At 42.4% G+C, this 23694-nt stretch overlaps 1 protein-coding gene across 8 annotated transcripts in view, besides 1 other annotated feature; it reads right to left on the reverse strand.

Moving 5' to 3' along the window:
* The window catches only part of RNF38 (ring finger protein 38), a 151270-nt gene that overhangs the window by 78488 nt on the left and 49088 nt on the right, over positions 1 to 23694 (reverse strand). For all 8 annotated transcript variants that reach the window (XM_047422796.1, XM_047422795.1, XM_047422794.1 and 5 more), the window contains exon 2: positions 9726 to 9796. In XM_047422796.1, coding sequence (XP_047278752.1) covers positions 9726 to 9796 — 71 coding nt within the window. The remainder of the gene's footprint in view (positions 1 to 9725; positions 9797 to 23694) is intronic.
* Positions 801 to 1423: an enhancer, noted in NCBI's record as "NANOG-H3K27ac hESC enhancer chr9:36415685-36416307 (GRCh37/hg19 assembly coordinates)". NCBI's record gives its function as "activates a minimal SCP1, AML or CMV promoter by ChIP-STARR-seq in primed H9 embryonic stem cells {active_cell/tissue: H9 hESC(primed)}" and the evidence as "EXISTENCE:reporter gene assay evidence [ECO:0000049][PMID:30033119]".

Here is a 23694-nt window from a genome sequence, read left to right on the forward strand (position 1 = left end):
CCCTTCTAGCTTGCAGGGTTTCTGCTGAAAAACGTGCTGTTAATCTGACAGGTTTTCCTTTATGCTTTTCCCTAACAGTTCTTAAGGTTCTTTTCTTCATCTTTATTTTAGTTAGCCTGATGACTGTGTGCCTAGGTGATAATCTTTTTGCAATGCATTTCCCAGGAGTTATTTGAGTTTCTCGTATTTGGATGTATAGATCTCTAGCAAGGCCAGGGAAATTTTCCTCAATCATTCCCTCAAATAAGTTTTCCAAATTTTTAGATTTCCCTTCTTCCTCAACAACACCAATTATTCTTAGGCTTGATCGTTTAACATAATCTCAAACTTATTGGAGGCTTTATTCAGTTTTTTTCTTTTTTGTCACACTGGGTTAATTAAAAAGCCTTATCTTTGAGCCCTCAACTTCTTTCTTGTTCAATTCTATTGAAATTTTCCAGTGTATTTTGTATTTAAGTGTGTCTTTCATTTCCTGAAGTTGTGATTGTTGTTTTATTGATTTTATTTCTCTGGAGATTTTTTTGTCCGTATCTTGTTTTTTTTGTTTTTTTGTTTTTTTCTAATGTCAGAGGAAAGATCTGGGGCTCAATAGCTGTTGTTCAGATTCTTTTGTCCCATGGGGTGATCCCCTGACATGGTGCTCTCCCCCTTCCCCTAGGGATGAGGTTCCTGAGAGCTGGACTACAGTGATTGTTGCTGCTCTTCTGCATCTAGCCACCTAGTAGAGCTACTGGGGTCCGGGCTGGTACTGGGGAGTGTCTGCAAAGAGTCCTGTAATGTGATCAGTATCCCGGTCTCTCAGCTGTGGCATCTGCTCCGATGGAGGTAGCAGGGGAATGAAGTGGACCCTGTGAGGGTCCTTGGTAGTTTTGTTTAGTGCACTGGTTTTCTCAAATGCTGGTTGTGCTGGCAGTGAAGTTGTAACATGGACAGACTCAGAACCTCTGGTTAGCTAGGATGTTACAGGCAGTGGAATTTGCTATTATTTTCTCCTTTCTTGGTGCAGAGTTGTTCTTTTATGAGTTGCTGTAATGGCTTCAGTTGGTTGGCCTCCAGTCAGAAGGTGGCGCTTTCAATACAACATCGACTGCAGTAGTACGGGGCGGGGGATACAAGTTTGCCCTAAGGTCACTTGGATAAGTATTCTGATTTATCAGGTGATGGGTGGCACCATAGAGCTCTCAAGATATTATGTGTTTTGTTTTACGCTACCAGGGCGGAAAAAGACCATCAAGTAAGGGCCAGGTTAGGCATATCTGAGACTCTCCTTGGGCGGGGCTTGCTGTGGCCACAGGGCGGAGGGAGGGGGAGGGGGTGGGAGATGGGAGGATGGGGGATGGGGGTGTGATTCTCAGGCCAATAAAATTGTATTCCCTGGGGGATTATGGTTGCCTCTGCTGCTTCAAACAGATCACCAGGGAGTTGGGGGCAAGCTGGCAGTGACAGGCCTCACCGAATTCCTCCACAACCAGCAAGGCCGGTCTCAGTCCCACCATGCCCTGACAACACCGTTATATCCAGGCAGCCTTAGAGCAAGGCTGAGATTTTGCCCCAGGCTACAAAAGCCCCTGCTGAGAAAGCAGGCAAGGATTTCAGGTCTTGCCCCTCCCTGCCTGCCCTAACTTCTGTGCCAGTATCTGCACTTTCGGTTTGCCCACTCCCAAATATTGCCCAGGAAAATTTGCACTCAGTCAAAATTATTACAAAGTTAGGCTGTAAGTTTTCTTCTCCCTGTGGTCCTTCCCCATTTCTAATGGCAGCCTTTCCCAAGAACCCCTGGTAAGATAAAAGTCAGAAATGGCTTCCCTGGGGACTAGAAGTGTCTACAGGGCTCCTTCTTGCTGCTGCCTCGATATTTTTTTTTTTTTTTTTTTTTTTTTTTTGAGACAGAGTCACATTCTGTGGCCCAGGCTGGAGTGCAGCGGCACCATCTCAGCTCACTGCAGCCTCCGCCTCCTTGGTTAAAGCGATTCTCCTGCCTCAGCTGCCTAAGTAGCTGGGATTACAGGCATGTGCCACATGCCCAGCTAATTTCTGTATTTTTAGTAGAGATAGGATTTCGCCACGTTAGCCAGGCTGGTCTCGAACTCCTGACTGCAGATGATCCACCCACCTTGGCCTCCCAAAGTGCTGGGATTACAGCACTTTTTGGCTGGGAGCCACCGCGCCTGGCCTTGCATCAACTTTTATATTTCATTTGGCTCTCTAAATTCGTATCAGCTCCAGGTAAGGTTAAATCCTTCTCCCATGATCTGGATTTTCAGGTTCCCCAGTGAGGATGTGTGTTCAGAGGCAGACTTTCCCCCTCTTCACTTTGGGCACTCACAGCTTTTGGCTGTCTCATGGAATTTGCAGCGACAAGCCGCTTATTTCAAAGGGTCTGTGAATAATTTCGGTTTTACTGTTATGTTCCTGCGGTAGTTCTTGAAGCAAAAGTTCACGATGTGAGTCTCCACACACTGTTTTGTCCATCCGAGTAGAAGCTGCAAGTTAATCCTGCCCGCTTTTGATTTAAAATTATACATCTTACTTGAATTCTAACAGTAGGTTAACTTTTATTTTTGATATTTGAACTATTTACCTAAAAGTACCAATAATAATTCTATAAATTAACAATACTTCCATCACTTTTTTTGGTTTTGGAGACAGAATCTCACTCTGTCACCCAGGCGGGAGTGCAGTGGTGCAATCTCGGTTCAATACAAACTCCACTTCTGGGTTCAAGAGATTCTCCTGCCTCAACCTTCCGAGTAGCTGGGATTACAGGCGTGCACCACTACGCTCAGCTAATTTTTGTATTTTTAGTAGAGACAGGGTTTCACCATGTTGGCCAGGCTGGTCTCGAACTCCTGGCCCCAAGTGACCTGCCTGCCTTGGCCTCCCAATCTGCTGGGATTACAAGCATGAGCCACCAAACCCAGCCACTTCCACCACTTTTTAAATGAAACACTGCTTAACTTTTACAAATCTAGTTCCTATCTTAAGCTAGAGAATCTTTCTCTACCAAGGTACAATCAAGGAACTTGATTTTACAAGGATGAAAAACATTTCATACAAATATGGTAAGAAAAAACAATCTGTTAATACTGAAATTCCAATTGTTATTTCTCAGGAGAGAAACTGAATAGAGTGCTGTGTTTGTTTTTACAATCAATATGTGATTTTTTTTTTTTTTTTGGAGACAGGGTCTCACTCCATCACCCAGGCTGGAATGCAGTGGCTTGATCTCCATGCAACCTCAAGTAATCTTCCCGCCTCAGCCTCCTGAGTAGCTAGGACCACAGGTGTGTACCACTAGGCCCAGCTAATTTTGTATTTTTTGTATACACAGGGTTTTGCCATGTTGTCCAGGCTGGTCAGCTGGTCTCAAACTCTTGAGGTTGAGTGATCCACTCATTTCGGCCTCCCAAAGTGCTGGGATTACAGGCATGAGCCACTGCGCCTGGCCAACAATCAATATGTAATTTTTAAAAATTAAAAAGAGGCCAGGCATGATGATTCATGCCTGTAATCCCGGCACTTTGGAAGACCAAAGCAGGTGGATCACTTGAGGACAGGAGCTGAAGACCAGCCTGGCCAGCATGGTGAAACCCCATCTCTACGAAAAAAAAATACAGGCTGGGCGCAGTGGCTCATGCCTGTAATCCCAGCACTTTGGGAGGCTGAGGCGGGCAGATCACTTGAGGTCAGGAGTTCATGACCAGCTTGGCCAACATGGTGAAACCCTATCTCTACTAAAAATACAAAAATTAGCCAAATGTGGTGGTACGCGCCTGTAATCCCAGCAACTCAGGAGGCTGAGGCAGGAGAATCGCTTGAACCTGGGAGGCGGAGGTTGCAGTGAGGCGAGATGGTGCCACTGCACTCCAGCCTGGGTGACAGAGCAAGACTCTGTCTCAAAAAACAACAACAACAACAACAAATTAGCTGGGCATGGTGGTGGTGCATGCCTGTAATCCCAGCTACTCGGGAGGCTGAGGCTGGAGAATTGCTTGAACCCTGGCAGTGGAGGTTGCAGTGAGCCGAGATCACACCACTGCATTCCAGCCTGGGCAATGGAGCAAGACTCCATTTCAAAAATAAACAAATAAATACTAAAAAGTAAAAAGATCAAGAAAAAGGAAGTATACAGTCACAGAAGAAAAACTGGTACATCTCGAGCAAAAATCTAAAAATCCAAAATCTGAAATGCTACAAAATCCAAAACTTTCTGAGCAAAGATTTCACACTCAAAGGAAGTACTCAATGGAACATTTTGGATTTTCAGATTTGGGATGCTCAACCAGTATATAACGCAAATATACAAAACCTGAAAAAAATCCAAAATCCCAAACACTTCTGGTCCCAAGCATTTTAGATAAGCGATATTGAACCTGTAAGTACATTTTCCATCTTCCCTGAAGGCAGTATGCATGGGATTACTTATACCACAAGCTGGATGGGTGCTTTTTTCCAAGACAAATGAATGAAGCCTACTATAAGGAATTCTTGTCAAGAAAGACTCCTGCTCTGAATCAGTACACATAAGCAGTTTAGGAAGAACTCTTCTATTTTCGTTTCTCAAATGGCCATCCTCCTGGCAATGTATCAAGAACTCTGAAAAAATATATAATTGAGGCTACAAGTTAATTCACCTCAACTGAGAGAATAGTCTTATCAAATTCTTCAATATTTTATCTCATTCTCAGGTCAGACCTAGTTCCCCAGCTCAAGCTTGTTGTCACTGTGAAAATGTGACTATTTTCAAACTGACATTAGCTGAGTTAATTTCAGTATCTAAGTGAAACATGACTACAGGTGGCACGGCATCTGTATTCCCAGCTACTTGGGAAGGCTGAGGTGGGAGAATCCCTTGAAGGTGGGGGCAGAGGTCGCAGTGAGCAGAAATTGCGCCACTGCACCCCAGCCTGGGTAACAAAGTGCGACCCTGTCACAAACAAACAAACAAAAAACTCGCACAGAATTCTGAACCTGACACAGGGTAGGGATGACTTGGCAAGGAGCCTGGAATAACAAATAGTCATGAATCAGAATAAAGGCCTGGGGGCAAGAAAAAAAACTACCGAGAAGGACTGGTGCCAATGGTTCAGTTCCACTGTGACTCTCTGAGGCCTTCTCCACTTGCAGATATGTTTCTCCAAGCATGTCACAGTTGAATGGGTGAAGTTAAAATAGGAATAGGTTTCTTCAAACAGCAGAGTACAGACTTGAGCAAGGCAGCTTGGGATGGAATCCCAGTGTACTGCTGTGTGATCTTGGGTAAATATTTAATCTGTGCCTCAGATTCCTCACTGATAAAACTGGAATAAAGCAGTCCCTACTTCAAAGGGTGTTGTGACTACCTGGTTAAAAGGACAACCTTCGGCCGGGCACGGTGGCTCACGCCTGTAATCCTAGCACTTTGGGAGGCCGAGGCGGGTGGGTCACGAGGTCAGGAGATCGAGACCATCCTGGCTAACACAGTGAAACCCCCTCTCTACTACAAATACAAAAAATTAGCCAGGCGTGGTGACAGGCACCTGTAGTCCCAGCTACTAGGGAGGCTGAGGCAGGAGAATGGAGTGAACCCAGGAGGCAGAGCTTGCAGTGAACTGAGATCGCGCCACTGCACTCCAGCCTGGGCAACAGAGCAAGACTCTGTCTCCAAAAAAAAAAAAAAAGAGGACAACCTTCTCCCAGTACTTCTATGCCCCCTTCCCTGCTTTCTTATTCTTCACAACACAAATAATCAGTTAACAATATCTTTATTGTCTTGCCTTTCCCCACTCACAGAAAGCAAGCTGCATAAGAGCAAAGACTTCTGTTTTCTTCAATGCAGTATCCCCAGTATCTAGAACATTGCTCTGTATGTAGTAGCTACTCAAATATAAACGTTTGCCACCTAGAAATTATGGAATATGGCCCTGTGAACGAATGTAAAAATAATGCTGGAGGGCTTGTGCAAATTGCTGTGCCCAATATAAATTAATGAGAATTTGTAACTCACAGGATTTAATAATTAACATCAGAGCTGGAATCAGTTTCTTCCAGCACTATAAACTATAAACAGATACATATCAGGAGAGAAACTTTAAGCTGGAGAACAACAGATCAAGCCAAAAAATTGGGGATTGGACACCACCTCCAAGGCTGTAGAGAGGATGTCCAACAAATAAATTGGCCCTCATACTCCTTGCCTGAACTGTGGTTCCATCCCCAGTCACACATGGATTAGTTAAAAGTGAGAAAACTTATAAGAAAAATCATGTAAGAAAAATCATCTTTTCTTCCCCAATCTGAGAAATACACCATGCCTGAAAGATAGGCAAAGACAACAAGCAAAGAATCAACACGTTTTGACAATGTGCTCAGAATACCTAAGCAAATATTTTATATAACTTGCATTCGATACAGAAGATCTGGTCTACCCCTAGCACTGTGGGTTACCCCTGAACAAGTAATTTCTCCCATGGTGGTCACAGCTCCCAAGTTTATTTTTTTTTAAAGCAGGTTGGGGCCAGGCATGGTGGCTCACGCCTGTAATACCAGCACTTTGGGAGGCTGAGGTGGGAGGATCACTTGAGGTCAGGAGTTTGAGACCAGCCTGACCAACATGGAGAAACCTCGTCTCTACTAAAAATACAAAATTAGCCGGGCGTGGTAGCGGATGCCTGTAATCCCAGCTACTCGGGAGGCTGAGGCAGGAGAATCACTTGAACCCGGGAGGCGGAGGTTGCAGTGAGCCAAGATCACACCATTGCACTCCAGCCTGGGCAGTAAGAGCGAAACTCTGTCTGAAAAATAAAAATAAATAAATAAAATAAAAATAAAAAGCAGGTTGGCGTAAACGTGCTCTATGATCCCTTTAATTCTGAGTTAGACTATGAAGAAGTGGGGAAGGGAGAGAGAGTGAGTGTGCAGAGGGCAACAGGTTCATTTTAGTTTTTGCAAAACCAATACCCACGTGTCATAGAAAGACGTCAGGGGGCTGTTGTATATGTAGCGATCTGATTTTTAAATATGATATCCACCCACTCTCCTCCCCAGAATAACACCTGATGATCCTGTTGAAAGCTATAATCTGGCCAGGCATGGTGGCTCACACCTGTAATCCAAACACTTTGGGAGGCTGAGTTGGGTGGATCACTTGAGGCCAGGAGTTCGAGACTAGCCTGGTCAACATGGTGAAGTCCCATTTCTACTAAAAATACAAAAATTAGCCAGGCACGGTGATGAACACCTGCAGTCCCAGCTACTTGGGAGGCTGAGGCACAACAATCACTTGAACCAGGAGGCAGACACTACAGTGAGCTTAGATCTTGCCACTGCACTCCAGCCTGGGCAACAGAGGGAGACTCTATCTCAAAATAATAAACAAACAAACAAACAAACATAAAAATGCAAAAAATTAGCTGGCCGTGGTGGCACACGCCTGTAATCCCAGCTACTCAGGAGGCTGAGAATCTTTTGAACCTGGGAGGCAGAGGTTGCAGTGAGCCAAGACTGTACCACTGCACTCCAGCCTGAGCAACGAAGGGAGACTCAGTCTACCCACCAAAAAACAAAAAAAAAAAAACAGGAGAGAAAGAAAGGCTGTAATCTGTAACTTTTCTTTTATCCACTTCACTTATTGTAAAATGCTATACTAGAATCTATCTGTTTTCTATCTGGCTGTATTCCCTAAATGCCTAGACACATAGCTACCTATCGATAAGTACTACTTGCTGACTGAATGAATTGAATAAATTCTAAATACATAGTCAAGAGACCCTAATCCATTTTCTCCATTTCCATTTAGGAAACAATCAATATATACATGGTAGGCAGGAAGAAAGGAGAGTCGTTTCAGACAGTTCTTTACCCTGCTGATCTCCTGTTCCTTAATAATATTCCTTAAACTTCTCTTCCCTTTTTTCCCCCATATTTCCAGAAAAATCTCCTGTCTCAAAAGCACAAAATCAGCTATAGAAAAGATTAATAAATTAGAAAACAAAAACATTTTAAGGGGTGACAGGAAGTACCTGGCAAAGGTAGACAAAAAGCTTATCTTCAGAATCTAAGGTCTGGAGACAACCCGGAGGGCAGTCTGGCTTCTATACCATAAATGAACAAATGGATACTAGCATAACACACTTAGCAGAAGAAAAAAAATTTAACCCAAAAGCACCTTCATAATTATGAAGCACAATCACTTGTAACATTAGTAACCTAAAATGATTTTGCCTTCTCCCTCTATCATCACTCTTAATTTCAAATGCTCATTTCTAAAATCTGTAGTATACAAAATTTTCTGTAGCCAACTATATATTCTAGAAGTCTCTTTCAGTGGCTTGCCTTTGAAAGAAGTTAAAAATGAAACTCATGTCTCTTGATTGGTACAATAATAAAGGAGACTCTGGAATGCTATAAGCTACCACTCTCTGTAAAGAGAGTGAAATCAGTCTGAACAAAGCTCACAAAGACAGAGACCAACAAACAGAACAAAGAAACCATTTGGAAAATCCCAATTATCAACCAACTTCTTGATCCAGCTCCAACACAATGAGAGAGGAGGATCTTGATCAAAACAGCAGAGAAAAAGACTGCTTAGATTGGTCTGCACTGGAAACTACCAAGGGAGTGATAGATTCCTGCATATAACACGCAGAAAATGGGAGGGAAGCCACTAGAAATTGATGGTGAAAAAGACTAAATTTAAGTCCATCCAGATCGGCAGCCAGATGTTCCAAACGCCCAGCTCACAGAAATATTTACTGCAAGGGCTGGGCCGTCAAGCGTACTGATGAGTATTGAAAAGCCCCGGCCGGGCGCGGTGGCTCACGCCTGTAATCCCAGCACTTTGGGAGGCCGAGGCGGGCGGATCACGAGGTCAGGAAATCGAGACCATCCTGGCTAACACGGTGAAACCCCGTCTCTACTAAAAATACAAAAAATTAGCCGGGCGTGGTGGCGGGCGCCTGTAGTCCCAGCTACTCGGGAGGCTGAGGCAGGAGAATGGCGTGAACCCGGGAGACGGAGCTTGCAGTGAGCCGAGATTGCGCCACTGCACTCCAGCCTGGGCGACAGAGCGAGACTCCGTCTCAAAAAAAAAAAAAAAAAAAAAAAAAGAAAAGCCCCCCCTAGAGACCAGGTTTCTTTAGAGATAAAAAGAACAAAAGCAAAAAACACAATGAAACCACCACCAATAGTTTGGACATAATTTAAAATATATACATATCAGGCCCAAAGTAGACTTCTTGTGTATGAACCAGATCGATTCAACTGACAATCCCCAATATTTAAACTGGCCTTTGTAAACAGAGCCAAAAAAATTTTTTGAAGGTAAAGTATAAGAAGAAAACATAATTCAATGCAATTAATGCCAAAAGTGAACCAAAATGTAATGTCCAGGATATTTCCAACATGAGTTGCTGAGATAGCTATCAACCTCTGAAACACATGTTCGTATATTAAGATAATCCATTCAGGCTTTGCAGAAGAGGAAGCACCACGATGGGGACAGAGGCATAGGTAGGAAAGTGGAGTGTTGATCAAAAGTCCAACCCACCTCGGGTTGAGGAATTTGCCCTAGGTTTTCTGGAGCAGTCAATAATTTGACACACAAACCAGCAAGGCCCTCAGCATCTCAACAATGTGTCCCCACAAATCACACTCTTCTTGCCCTAGGCCCAGAGTTACGCAAGAGAATCCAGCAACGTAAGGTTGGCATGCATTTTCCCCATGGCAGACATCAACACGAACCTCACCTTGTCACTGTCATCATGACAAATGTGGTCGTGATGGATGGACTGGCACTGAAAAGAAGCACCAACACTACCTACAAGAAAAAGGGAGGAAAGGTTAAGATGCAGTAATTCCTTACATTTAAACTGCTTTACCAATTAAAAGTGCTTTTACATCCATGATCCCATCTAATAAAATACTCATATAAGTAGACACTGTGGGGATTATTATTCATGCATTTTAACAGAGGAAAACAAAACACAGAGAGGCTGACCCACACAAAGGACCAGTTAGGGAGTGGCAGGTCTAAAACTACAACTCCATTATTCAAACTGCTAATTCCCCCTCTTTCTACTAGACCGAGTAGTCTGCTTTCAAAGTAAGATTACCTGCAGAAACACAAGCCTTCAATAAGGCAAACTCTTATTTATGAGGAAAAATATTACATTCCTTTTCAGACTACACATGCTTTGAGAAAAAACTGGTCCTATAAATTCTAAACATATAAGAAACAATCTAATCTACAATCACATAACACTTTAAATGTTTTTATTATTTTAAATGTATACCAAATATACCCATTTGTAAATTTTAAAAACTACCTTCCAATAACAACTGCTCTTTAATAATAGTTACATTTCTAGCCAATAAAAACACAAACTATTCAACAAGTGATTGGAACAACAGATTACCCATTTTTTTTAAAAAAAGTTTTGGTTTGTACTTCATACCATAAACAAAATGGTGAGTCAAAGATCTATGTAATGTAAAAAATGAGGCCAGTTTTAGACAAAAATGTTACATTTTTAAAATAATCTTAGAGGCCAGGTGCAGTGGCTTAGGCCTGTAATCCCAGCACTTTGGGAGGCCAGGGCGGGTGGATCACCCGAGGTTAGGAATTTGAGACCAAGCTGGCCAACATGGTGAAACCCTGTCTCTACTAAAAATACAAAAATTAGCCACGCGTGGTGGCGCACCCCTGTAATCCCAGCTAATAGGGAGGCTGAGGAAGGAGAATCACTTAAACCCGGGAAACAAGAGGTTGCAGTGAGCCAACCAAGATCATGCCACTGCACTCCAGCCTGCATGAGTGAGACCCTGTTTCAAAAAAAAATGAAAATGAAAATGAAAATAATCTTGGAATAAGAAAAACCTTCTGAAAGAAGATATTAAACATTAAGTCATAAATAAAAAGCACACGACTGTGGACCAAAGGCTAACAAAACCCCTCCTGAGTAGCTGGGATCACAGGCACACGCCACCACGCCCAGTTAATTTTTGTATTTTTAGTAGAGACGGGGTTTCGCCATGTTGGTCAGGCTGGTCTTGAACTCCTGACCTCATGATCTGCCTGCCTCTGCCTCCCAAAGTGCTAGGATTGCAGGCGTGAGCCACCCACCTGGCCTCAGACAGTACATTTTAAGATATTATTAATGTTGGGAAGATGTTAAGTAACATGAGGCTGAAGACTGTAAGTGAGGATCACCTGCTTATTTACTATTACAGTAAGAGCTTACTGATACTTCCAGATATGTAGAGCAGAAAATTCTCTTTCAGAATCGGATTTGTTTTGTTTTGTCTTGTTTTAAACAAAATTAGACACAATTCACATACTACACAATTATCTATTATTTAAAGTATACAATTCAATTTTTTTTTTTTAGTATATTCACAAAGTTGTACAACCATCATCACAATTTTAGGACATTTTCACCACCCTAAAAAGAAACCTCAAGCCCATTTATCTCTTCCCTGAGCCACTGACAACCACCACTCCAACTTCTGTGTATTTGCCAATTCTGGACATTTCATATAAACAGAATCATAAAACATGTGGTCTTTGTAATCAGGTTCATTCACCTACCATAATGTTTGCAAGGTTCATCCACACTGAACCGCGTACCAATCCATTCCTTTCTATGGCTAAATAATATTCCAGTATATGGATATACCACATTTTGTTTCACTCTGGAAATATTAAGACTAATGCTGTTTTGACATCCATTTATAAGTTTTTGTGTGAACGTTTATTTTCATTTCTCTTGTTGGGTCACTTGATCTCTCTATTCAACCTTTTGAGGAACTGCCAAACTGTTTTCCAAACTGACGGCATCGTTTATAATTCCACCAGCAATATATTACAGTTCCTCTGGCATTTTTTGAGTAGAATGACTTTGGAGTCAGACTTCAATACAATTCAGGAATTTACAGACTATGTGAACTTAGGTAAGTCACTTAACAAATCATATGCCTCCCTCATCTGTAAAATTAGAATATTATTATCTACTTATATGTAGGTAATCTACAGAGCTGTTCTGAGAGATATTAAAGTTAGATGTATGAAAAAGCTCATAGCACAGTGCCTGGCACACAGCAATTCAAGAAATGGTACTACAATTAACACTTCTATTCACATCAAGGCTGTGATTTACCTGTGAGACACTGCCTAAGTCCTCAATTTTTTTTGCTAGAGCTGTTTCATTGCCCTCATTTTTTGAGGAGGAAGGGGAAGAGATAACATGTCTGTCTCTCCAGCCACATAATAGGCTCCCTAATTTATCTTTTCATCTTCCAGCATGCAGCACATTTCCTGACTCATGGCAAGTACTAAGTAATTGCAAAAGCAAAGCATGAGAGAAAAGAAATAAAAGAAAGAGTTTTTAAAAGATAAAAAGGAAAAGGGGAAGAAAGGAAATGAAGCCTTCCTGATTTCTCCCTCCCTTTCCTAGTCTACACTTCCATCAGTCCCTCCACCTACAGACCCCAATGAGATTTAATGACCTCTTCCTCCTTTCTCCTGTACAAGCTGCTTAGCCCTTGTTATCAAAATTCCTATGTTGAAACCTAACCCCAAATGTAAGGGTATTCGGAGGTGGGGTGTTTGGAAGGTGATTGGGTTATGAAGGCAGAGAGCTCATGAATAGGATCAGTATCCTTATAAATTCAATCCCAAAGAATCCCTCACCCTTTTGCCTTGTGAGGACACAGCAAAAAGGCACTCTCTATGTACCAGGAAGCAGGCCCTCGCCATAATGAATCTGGGTTCCTTGATCTTGAATTTCCCAGCCTCTATCTATCTATCTATCTATCTATCTATCTATCTATCTATCTATCTACCTACCTATCTATTAATTTATTTGAGATGAGTTTCACTCTTGTTGCCCACACTGGAGGGTAGTGGTGCGATCTTGGCTCACTGCAACCTCCACCTCCCGGGTTCAAGCGATTATCCTGTCTCAGCCTCCCGAGTAGCTGGGATTACAAGTATGTACCACCATGCCTGGCTAATTTTGTATTTTTAGTAGAGACAGGGTATCTCCATGTTGGTCAGGCTGGTCTCAAACTCCCGACCTCAGGTGATCCGCTCACATTGGCCTCCCAAAGTACTGAGATTACAGGCGTTAGCCACTGCACCCAGACAAATTTCTCAGCTCCTAAAACTGTGAGAAATAAATTTCTGTTGTTTATAAGCCACCTAGACTATGGTATTTGTTACAGCAGCCTGAAGAGACTAAGGCAGGCCTTATACTACAATAAAAAAATGAGGCCAGGCGCGGTGGCTCATGCCTGTAATCCCAGCACTTTGGGAGGCGGAGGCAGGCGGATCACAAGGTCAGGAGATGGAGACCATCCTGGCTAACACGGTGAAAGCCTGTCTCTACTAAAAATACAAAAAATTAGCTGGGCATGGTGGCACGCACCTGTAATCCCAGCTACTCAGGATGCTGAGGCAGAACTACTTGAACCCGGGAGGTGGAGGTTGCAGTGGGATGAGATCACGCCACTGCACTCCAGCCTGGGCAACAGAGCAAGACCCTGTCTCAAAAAAAAAAAAGGATAAAACTGTAGTACAACTATTGTTTACATATATATATATATATATATACACGTATAAATTCAATTTCCCCTGCTGGACCACGACCACATGTTTTTAGAGTCAGAGACTGAGCCTTGGTCATCTTTATGATCTCCGTAACATACATCAAGTTTTGTTCAAAGAAGGCCATACTTAAAAAGTTTACTTAATACATAAAGACTTTGAGTAACAGCATTATTCTGACCTTAGGCCTAACAAAGAAACCAACCAAGTGAAGCAAGGGGCATATGACAACTGAATAAATGTAACAAGACAAAGCTGGGGGAAGTGACCTCTCTTCTTACATTCAGGGCTATATTTCTTGAAAGGTCCATTCTAAAGACAGCCCTGAGCATTTACTGAGTATCTACTCAGTATGTACCAGACATATGTACACAAGACAAAGCAAAAAGCAAGCAAGGCCCCTAGCTCCATGGAGCTTACAGCCCAGTAGAGAGCATTTGCCTGCCATCCTAAAGACTCTAATCTCACTCCCACTCCAGAAATTTCATTTCTGCAATTGCTTAATTCATTAAGTAAGTACTTATCAAGCCCTCGCTACATGTCAAGTCTACCCTAGACACTGGGAACATAGGAATAAATAACACAAGGTCCCTGCTCTTCATGAATTTTACTTTAACCAATTCTATAAAGATGCATTTCTTTGCCAATAATTCTGTGAAATACCCGTATGCTCTAACTTTTAAATAAATTTTAATAGTAACATGTGTACATAAGCTTAAAAAGTAAAAAAAGAATGAAATGGATTATGATGAAAAAAGAATCCCATTGCCTTCTTCTCTATCCCTAGTCTCCCTTCCCAGAGGCAAATATTCCCCAAATCTTACAGGCATTCCCTCCAGTATTGAAGACAATGGTCCTCTCGTATCTGTGGGAGCTTGGTCCCAGGACCCCCAGTGGATACCAAACTCTGCAGATGCTCAAGCCCTTTATATAAAATGGCTTAGTATTTGCATAAAACCTATGTAAATCCTCTCATATACTTTAAATCATCTCTAGACTACTTGTAATACCTAATACAATGTAATGCTATATAAGACACAGTGGCTCACGCCTGTAATCCCAGCACTTTGGGAGGCTGAGGTGGGAGGATCATGAAGTCAGGAGTTTGAGACCAGCCAGTTTGAGACCAGCCTGGCCAACAAGATGAAACCCTGCCTTTATTAAAAATACAAAAATTAGCCACGCATGGTGGCGGGCACCTGTAATCCCAGCTACTCGGGAGGCTGAGGCAGGAGAATTGTTTGTACCCAGGAGTCAGAGGTTGTAGTGAGCTGAGATCACGCCACTGCACTCCAGCCTGGGCAACAGAGCAAGATTCCGTCTCAAGAAAAAATAAATTAATTAATTAATTAACAAACAGTAATTGTACTACAGTTTTACTCATTTTTTTAACTGTAGTATTGTTGTTTTTATTGTTTATTTTTCCTGATATTTTCCATGCAGTTGGCTAAACCCAAGGATGTGGAACCTACAGATATAGAGGGCCAACTATAATATACTTTATATGACTATTTCTTGGTTATTAATTTTATAAATTGTTTATTGAATTTCTAGCATACTATCATCAGATAACTAAACTATTCCACCCCTCCTACCCTACTCTCACCCAGTCCTCCAACATAATTATGTAGTATTTTGTGTTTTTATCAAGAGGATGGTCACTGAAATTCCAGAAATAGATAAGACCTCCTAAAGAGAAGGTGTAATCAGAGAAAAGCAGAAGGCCAAGAATTATTATTATTATTATTAATTTTGAGACAGAGTTTCGCTCTTGTTGCCCAGGCTGGAGTGCAATGGCGCGATCTCAGCTCACTACAACCTCCTCCTCCCGGGTTCAAGCGATTCTCCTGCCTCAGACTCCGGAGTAGCTGGAATTACAGGCATGCGCCACCACGCCTGGCTAATTTTTTGTATTTAGTAGAGACGGGTTTTGCCATGTTCGTCAGGCTGGTCTTGAACTCCTGACCTCAGGTGATGCACCCACCTCAGCCTCCCAAAGTGCTGGGATTACAGGCAAGAGCTACTGTGCCTGGCCTTAATATTTTTTAAATACTGAAATGTATTGGAGGAAAGAGGTAGTTAATGAAGGAGATAAAAGAAGAGAAAGAGCCAGAGGAAAGAAAGAATATGTGTGGAGATATAAGAGGACCAAGAAGGAAATGTCTGATTTGATTGATTTTCTTGTGTGTTAATGAGAGGCTAGTAGTGAAAGGACTGGTTCTACTTTGTATTTTTCCATTTGAATGGAAATATGAGGACTTCGGGCGGCGGGGGTGCGGTTTCCAATTTCCAGAGCATCTCCTTATTCTTCTTGAGGAGAGATAAAGAGAATTCAGACATTCCGAATCCAAACAAAAATCTGGCCCTAATGAGGATTAAAAAAAAAAAAATCAACATGGCTTTTCTATACTCTCACAACATTTCTGGCACACAATTTATGAGTTGTCCACACCAAGCAATCCTTCAGTTCTCCACGGACATCACTTGAACATCCTATAATTCTAACACTAACTACCCATAGTTAATGTAGACCCCAAAGGTAAAGGGCTCAGTCCCACAAGACTGCCTCCCACTTCAGATGCCAATTGCAAGTAGTGGGTCCTCAGGCTAACCACAACTTTTGTCAGTTTGGCTACAAATCAGAGGTTCCCAACACCCCTTCTTCTGATTCAATAATTTGCTACAATGGCTCATAAAACTCAAGGAAACATCTATAATCATGCATTGCTTAATGATGAGAATACATTCTGAGAAATGCATGGTTAGGTAACTGAATCGTTGTGCGAACATCATACCAGAGAGTCAGGCTATATGGTATACTTAGACAACAGGGCATAACCTACTGCCCCTAGAGCACAAACCTGTATAGCACGTTACTGTACTGAATACTGTAGGCAACTGTAACACAATGGTATTTGCGTATCAAAACACATCTAAACATAGAAAAGGTACAGTAAAAATATAGTATTATAATCTCAGGGGACCAGTCATATACATAGTCCCTCTTTGACAAAAACACATTATGTGGCACAAGACTGCACTTTTGTTTACTGGTTTACTATAAAGGTTAAAGATGAACAGCTAATGAAAGAGGCACATGGGGTTAAGATATGGAGGAAAGGGGAATGGGCAGAGCTTCCATGCCCTTTTTAGGCACACCATCCTCCCAGCACCTCAATGTCTTCACCAACCCAGAAGCTCTCCAAACTCTATTATTTAGGGTTCCTATGGAGATTCCCTTAGGTAGGCATGACTGATAAAAATCATTGGCCATTGGTAACTGAACTCAATCTTCAGCCCCTCTCCTCTCTCTGGAGGGATGCTGGGTTGAAAGTTCCAACACTCAAATTGCATGACTGGTTCCTTTGGCAACCACCAGCCCTCATCTAGAAGCTATCAAGGGGCCCACCAAGACTCACTTCGTTAGCAGAAACTCAGGTATAGCTGAAAGGAGCTAATTACAAATTAAGACGCTTCTCTCACCCCAATCACTCAGGAAATTCCTAGGGTTTTAGGACCTCTGTGCCAGGAATTAGGGATGAAGAACAAATATGTATTTTTTATTATATCACATTATCACAGTGGTCCACTCCTTGAGTTGTGAGATAAATAATCTAATTCCCTTCGTATTCTCCCATGGCTTAATATTAATCTGGGTATTAAGTTTTTTTTGTTTTTTTTTTGAGACAGAGTCTCACTCTATTGCACAGGCTGGAGTGCAATGGCACGATCTCGTCTTACTGCAACCTCTGCCTCCCAGGTTCAAGTAAATCTCCTGCCTCAGCCTCCCAAGTAGCTGGGATTACAGGGGTGTGCCATTATGCCTGGCTAATTTTTGTATTTTTAGTGGAAACGGGGTTTCACTGTGTTGGCCAGGCTGGTCTGGAACACCAGACCTCGTGATCCACCTCCTTTGGCATCCCAAAGTGCTGGGATTACAGGCGTTAAGCCACCGCGCCTAGCTAAATATTAACTTTCTTATCCACTCATAACTTCCCATTTTACAAGGGTCAATGGTAAAATTCAAAGAAATACTATTGGCCAGGCGCAGTGGCTCATGCCTGTAATCCCAGCGCTTTGGGAGGCAGAGGCGGGCGGGCGGATCACAAGGTCAAGAGATTGAGACCATCCTGGCCAACATGGTGAAACCCCGTCTCTACTAAAAATACAAAAATTAGCTGGGCGTGGTGGTGGGCACCTGCAGTCCCACCTACTCGGGAGGCTGAGGCAGGAGAATCACTTGAACCCAGGAGGCGGAGGCTGCAGTGAGCCGAGATCCAGCCTGGTGACACAGTGAGACTCAAAAAACAAACAACAACAAAAACAAAACAAAAAAACAAAGAAATACTATTTCAGCCATTCAGGAGAAAATGCCAGTTACATATATGGTAAGCATGAGTCATCACTATTAATTACTATTTATTATAACTATTATTTTCACTATTACCATTTATGATAACTAAACATAACACACTTATTTTACAATTTAGTACCTATAGGAATTCAAATCTCTAGGCTAAGAAACCTGAAATCTCTAGTATCTTCCCTAACTATTAAATAAGATGAGAAGGTAAATTGCTGCTGTGATTTCTAGTATAGAGAAAAGATTGATATTCACAGTGGAGATAAGAGAGAAGAATGATAGCTACCAGAGGCTGGGGAGGGTAGAGGAGGGGCTGGGTGGGGGAAGTAAGGATGGTTAATGGGTACAAAAAAAAAAAGAGTAAGATCTAGTATCTGACAGCACAACAGGGTGACTATAGTCAACATAAGTTTAATTATACATTCTAAAATAACTAAAAACAGTATAACTGGATTGTAACACAAAGGATAAATGCTTGAGGTGATGGATACCCCCCCCTTACCCTAATGTGATTATTAGGCATTGTATGCCTGTATCAAAATATCTCATGTACCCCCATAAATATATACACCTACTAGGTACCCACAAAAATTAAAATTTAAAAATTTTTAAAAAAGAAAACATAGGGCCAGGCACAGTGCTCATGCCTATAATCCCAGCACTTTGGGAAGCCAAGACGGGCAGATCACTTGAGGTCAGGAGTTCGAGATCAGGCATCGTGGTGGACACCTGTAATCCTAGCTACTCCAGAGGCTGAGGCGGGAGAACTGGTTGAACCTGGGAGGCGGAAGTTGTAGTAAGCTGAGACTGTGCCACTACACTCCAGCTTGGGAAACAGAGTGAGACTTCGCCTCAAAAAAAAAAAAAAAAAGAAAGAAAATATAAATGACTTTGGACATATACAAATGTTAAACTTTTCTCAAAAGAAAAATTAAAGTAAAAATGACACCTTGTCACCCACCAAATCAATAAAAAGCAAGAAGTTTGATAACACACTATATTGGAGAAGGTATAAAAAAACAGGCTCTCAAACATTGCTAGTAGTAGATATATAAAGTAGTACATCTTCTAAAACGAGTAATTTGGCAGTTAACTGACTCAGTGAAAAATACTTATAACTTTTAGGCCAGGCGCGGTGGCTCATGCCTGTAATTCCAGACTTAGGGAGGCCAAGGCAGGTGGATCACAAGGTAAGGAGATGGAGACCATCCTAGCCAACATGGTGAAACCCCATCTCTACTAAAAATACAAAAATTAGCTGGGTGTGGTGGCACGCGCCCATAATCCCAGCTACTTGGGAGACTGAGGCAGGAGAATGGCTTGAACCTGGGAGGCGGAGATTACAGTGAGCTGAGATCGTGCCACTGCACTCCAGCTTGCCGACAGAGCGAGACTCTGCCTGAGAAAGGGGAAGGGAGGGGAGGGGAGAGGGGAGGGGGGGAAGGGATAGGGGAGAAGGGGAGGGGAGAGGAGCAGGAGGGGGAGGGGGATGGGGGAAGGAGGAGGGGGAGGGCAGGGGAGGAGGATGGGGAGGGCACGGGAGGAGGAGGGGAAGGACTTTTATTTTTTGAGATGGAGTTTTGCTCTTGTTGCCCAGGCTGGAGTGCAGTGGCACCATCTTGGCTCACCACAACCTCCGCCTCCCGGGTTCAAGCGATTTCTCCTGCCTTAACCTCCCAGGTAGCTGGGATTACACGCATGCGCCACCAGGCATGCCTGGCTAATTTTGTATTTTTAGTAAAGATGGGGTTTTTCCATGTTGGTCAGGCTGGTCTCGAACTCCTGACCTCAGGTGATCTGCCCATCTCAGCCTCCCAAAGTGCTGGGATTACAGGCATGAGCCACCGTGCCCAGCCTACATGTAACTTTTAAACCAGATATTCCAATCCTAAAAGTACATCTCACAAACATACTTGGCCCTCAAACTGATGTGTGTACAAATTATGCATCACGGTTTATTGCATGCCTCTCAAGATTAGAACTGGCTCCATGAGGGCAGGAAATTCCCTTGCCTTATACATTATATCCCAAGTGGAAAGAATAGTGCCTGGCACATAGCAGGTGATCAATATTTGCTCAACAGAATGAGTAAAATCAATTATTTTAAAGGCTTAAATGCCCACCAATAAGAGAATACTCTGCAACTATAAGTGGAGGGTGGGTGGGAAGAGGAAGCTCTTTATGTACTGATAAAGAAAAAGCTCCACTATATACTGTCACAGAAACAAAGCAATGTGTGGAACAGCACAGTGGGCCACCACTGTGGAAAAAAGTGGGGACTGGCGGAGGTACAGATGTATAGAAACTGATCACACTGTCTCTATAAGTCTAGGGAGAACAACGAAGCAGGACAGGCATCAAAGAAAGCCTTTTCACTGTATGCTTTTTCCTATTTTTAAATTTTTGAACCATGCGAATATATTACCTATTTAAAAAATAAACTTTAGAAAAGAGTGGTCTTACTCTAAATTACAGTGGTTATAATATGAAGCAGATTGTTAAAGATACTTGAGGTTGCCAAGTTGAAATGCAAGGCAAACACGAGAGTAGTAATTTTTAAATGAGATGTGACCTATACCTAAGAATTATTTGTATTCCAAAACAAAAAGTAAAAATTAAGTAGAAATTTACTCTAATAATTTATATTATTCTGTGAAGTCAATATAGTTGTTTGAATAACAGGCATCATTTAGAGGGAGAAACTGAATTTGAAAAAACAATAGTTAATGATCAGTACTGGTTCTTAAATGTTCAAAGACACTGAACGTGCCTTGGCCTTAGTGAATGGAGGTTTTTTTTTTTTTTTGAGATGGAGTCTCGCTCTGTCGCCCAGGCTGGAGTGGCTGGAGTGCAGTGGCGCGATCTCGGCTCCCTGCAAGCTCCGCCTCCCGGGTTCACGTCATTCTCCTGCCTCAGCCTCCCGAGTAGCTGGGACCACTGGTGCCTGCCACGACGCCCGGCTAATTTTTCGTATTTTTCATAGAGACAGGGTTTCACGGTGTTAGCCAGGATGGTCTCGATATCCTGACCTCGTGATCCGCCCGCCTCAGCCTCCCAAAGTGCTGGGATTACAGGCGTGAGCCACCGCGCCCGGACTCTGAATGGAGTTTTTATACACCACAAACCTAATCCAGTTCTTTGCAACTCTTTTTGTATCCATGAGAACCTATAGATTTTTACTTCCTAAAAAAGCACTTGTTTCAAAATGGCAAAACAATTCATTTAAATGTTAAGCTTCCTATATGAGGCTACAGGCACTTAATATTAAGGATAGACTCTGCGTGTATATTCACAGTTGTGTAAACAAGTTTATAGATAAATCTTTCATTCAAATTAGGCTTTTATCAAAATTAAGTTGTAAAAGGATGTTTTGGTAAGGGAGATGCCAAGAATGTAAAGAGTGGGTAGAAAAGTAAAATACTGAGAAAGTACATTAAAAAATATCTAGGGAAGTCAAATGATCTCAATGGGAAAGCTGACATTAAACAGTGATAATCCAAACAAGAAGAGACCTCAATTCAGTTTAGAAAGAGCTTAGCCATTCAGCTCCTTTTCTGAAAGATAACTGCCTATTATTAAAATAGTAATGACAGACTCATATAGCATAGTCTAGATTATCATATTAGATTCATTTATACCAATTTTCCTTCTATTATTTGTGGAAAATATATAACTTACAGACGCAATAGTAAGAAACACTTAAAATCGTAGCTGGGCGCAGTGGCTCACACCTGTAATCCCAGCACTTTGGGAGGCCAAGGCAGGCGGATCATGAGGTCAGGAGATTGAGACCATCCTGGCTAACAAGGTGAAACCCCTTCTCTACTAAAAATACAAAACATTAGCCGGGCGTGGTGGCAGGCGCCTGTAGTCCCAGCTACTTGGGAGGCTGAGGGAGGAGAATGGCGTGGACCCGGGAGGTGGAGCTTGCGTGAGCCCAGATAGCACCACTGCACTCCAGCACGGGCGACAGAGCGAGACTCCTCAAAAAAAAAAAAAAAAAAAAAGAATGGGAACATAAGTATAATATAAAATGGATAATCATCCATCCTTTAGTTTTGCCATGGCAACCAGGGTTGGTAATCTTTGAAAGCTGTTTTCTGACTTCCTAGTTCTAAAACAGAGAAGGCAGTTTTCTACCACCAGAGAAGCCAAAGGTCAGACTCTTCCTTTTTCCCTCTTAGCTATTCCTATGCAGATAAACATTTGAGGAGGCAAATAGGATATGATGAGTGGCTGCTTAACAAGGCCACTTGGGCTGCAGTGGCAGGCGGCCAGCCCTTTCCAGCCCTTTCCTTCACGCTTGCTCCTGGCACTGCAGCTGAGCAAGGCAGGACCAGGGAGAGAATTCATGTGTCAATCTTACTATCAAAGATGCCCCTCCCCAACCAACATCAGACCAGTCATACAATGTATTTGGTTTTGTCTCAACATATCTTACAATTAAAATATCTTCTCATTAACTCTTGGTTCTTTATGAAGATGATGCAAGTGAGCCTAAATATAAGTAAATCAACTCAAGAGGAAAAATCTACATAGCTTGGTCAGTTATAGTTACTGGGTATCTCACCTAAAATTAGTCCCACATCATTGGTTGTAAAATGTTACCCTCCATCTAGGAAACAAATCATTTTCACCTGAGCTCAAAGCTTTCTAAGGACAACATTCTAAAAACCGAAGAAGAAAAGTCAGATCAGACAAATTTATAGAAGGAGCAAGGTTGAAAAAAAAAAAAAAAAAGAAGAGGCGCAGACAAATCAATACTACTAGCTGACAGGCTGAGCTAGGTGCTGGCAAGGAGGACAAAAATCAACAAAATATGGTCCTTACCTTTAAGCAGTTTTCAACTTAGGAAGGGAAACAAAACCTACATGTCAGCTAATAACCCTAAAGTAACTTGTCAAGATGGTTTACTTCAGACTGTAAGTGCAAAGGCAATTCAGTGAGTCTATTAAAGACACAGGAAAAGTCTTAAGAGGTAGGTCTTAAAAGAGGAGGAAGAAGAATGATATAGCAGCCAATGCTAATTCTTAGGCAGGAGTCTGTGAAGCCTAAGAAATTTTACAAAAAGGTTTGTAGGCATAAATGTACCATTTTTCTGTAGAGGATGTTGGTTGTTTTGGGTTCTTTGACACTGAGTCTCACTCTGTAGCCCCACGATGCAGTGCAGTGGCGCAATCACAGCTCACTGCAGCCTCAACCTCCTGGGCTCAGTCTTCCAGCCTCAGCCTCTCGAGTAGCTGGGACTACAAGTGTGTGCTACCAGGCTCAGCTAATTTTTTATTTTTTGCAGAGACAGGGTCTATGTTGCCCAGGCTGGTCTCCCAACTTCTGGGCTCAAGAGATCCTCCCATCTCAGTTTCCCGAAGTGCTGGGATTACAGGAGTGAGCCACCATGTCCAGCCAAGGGTGTTGCTTTTTATCAGACCTTCAAAGTAGTCCAAGATTCTCAAAAGGTAGATCCGATACTCTAAATAAGCTTGTCCAACCCGTGACCCATGGGCTGCATGCAGCCCAGGAAGGCTTTGAATGCAGCCCAACACAAATTCATAAACTTTCTTAAAACATTAAGAGACTTTTTTTGTGATTTTTTTTAAGCTCATCAGCAATCGTTAGTGTTAGTGTATTTTATGTGTGCCCCAAGACAATTCTTCTTCTTCCAATGTGGCCCAGGGAAGCCAAAAGATTGGACAACCCTGTTCTAAAATATTCAAGATTCCTCCCTCCACACCTTATCCCAATACACACT

The sequence above is a fragment of the Homo sapiens genome, chromosome 9 (genome assembly GCF_000001405.40).
Source record: "Homo sapiens chromosome 9, GRCh38.p14 Primary Assembly".
In the NCBI taxonomy this organism is placed as follows: Eukaryota; Metazoa; Chordata; class Mammalia; order Primates; family Hominidae; genus Homo; species Homo sapiens.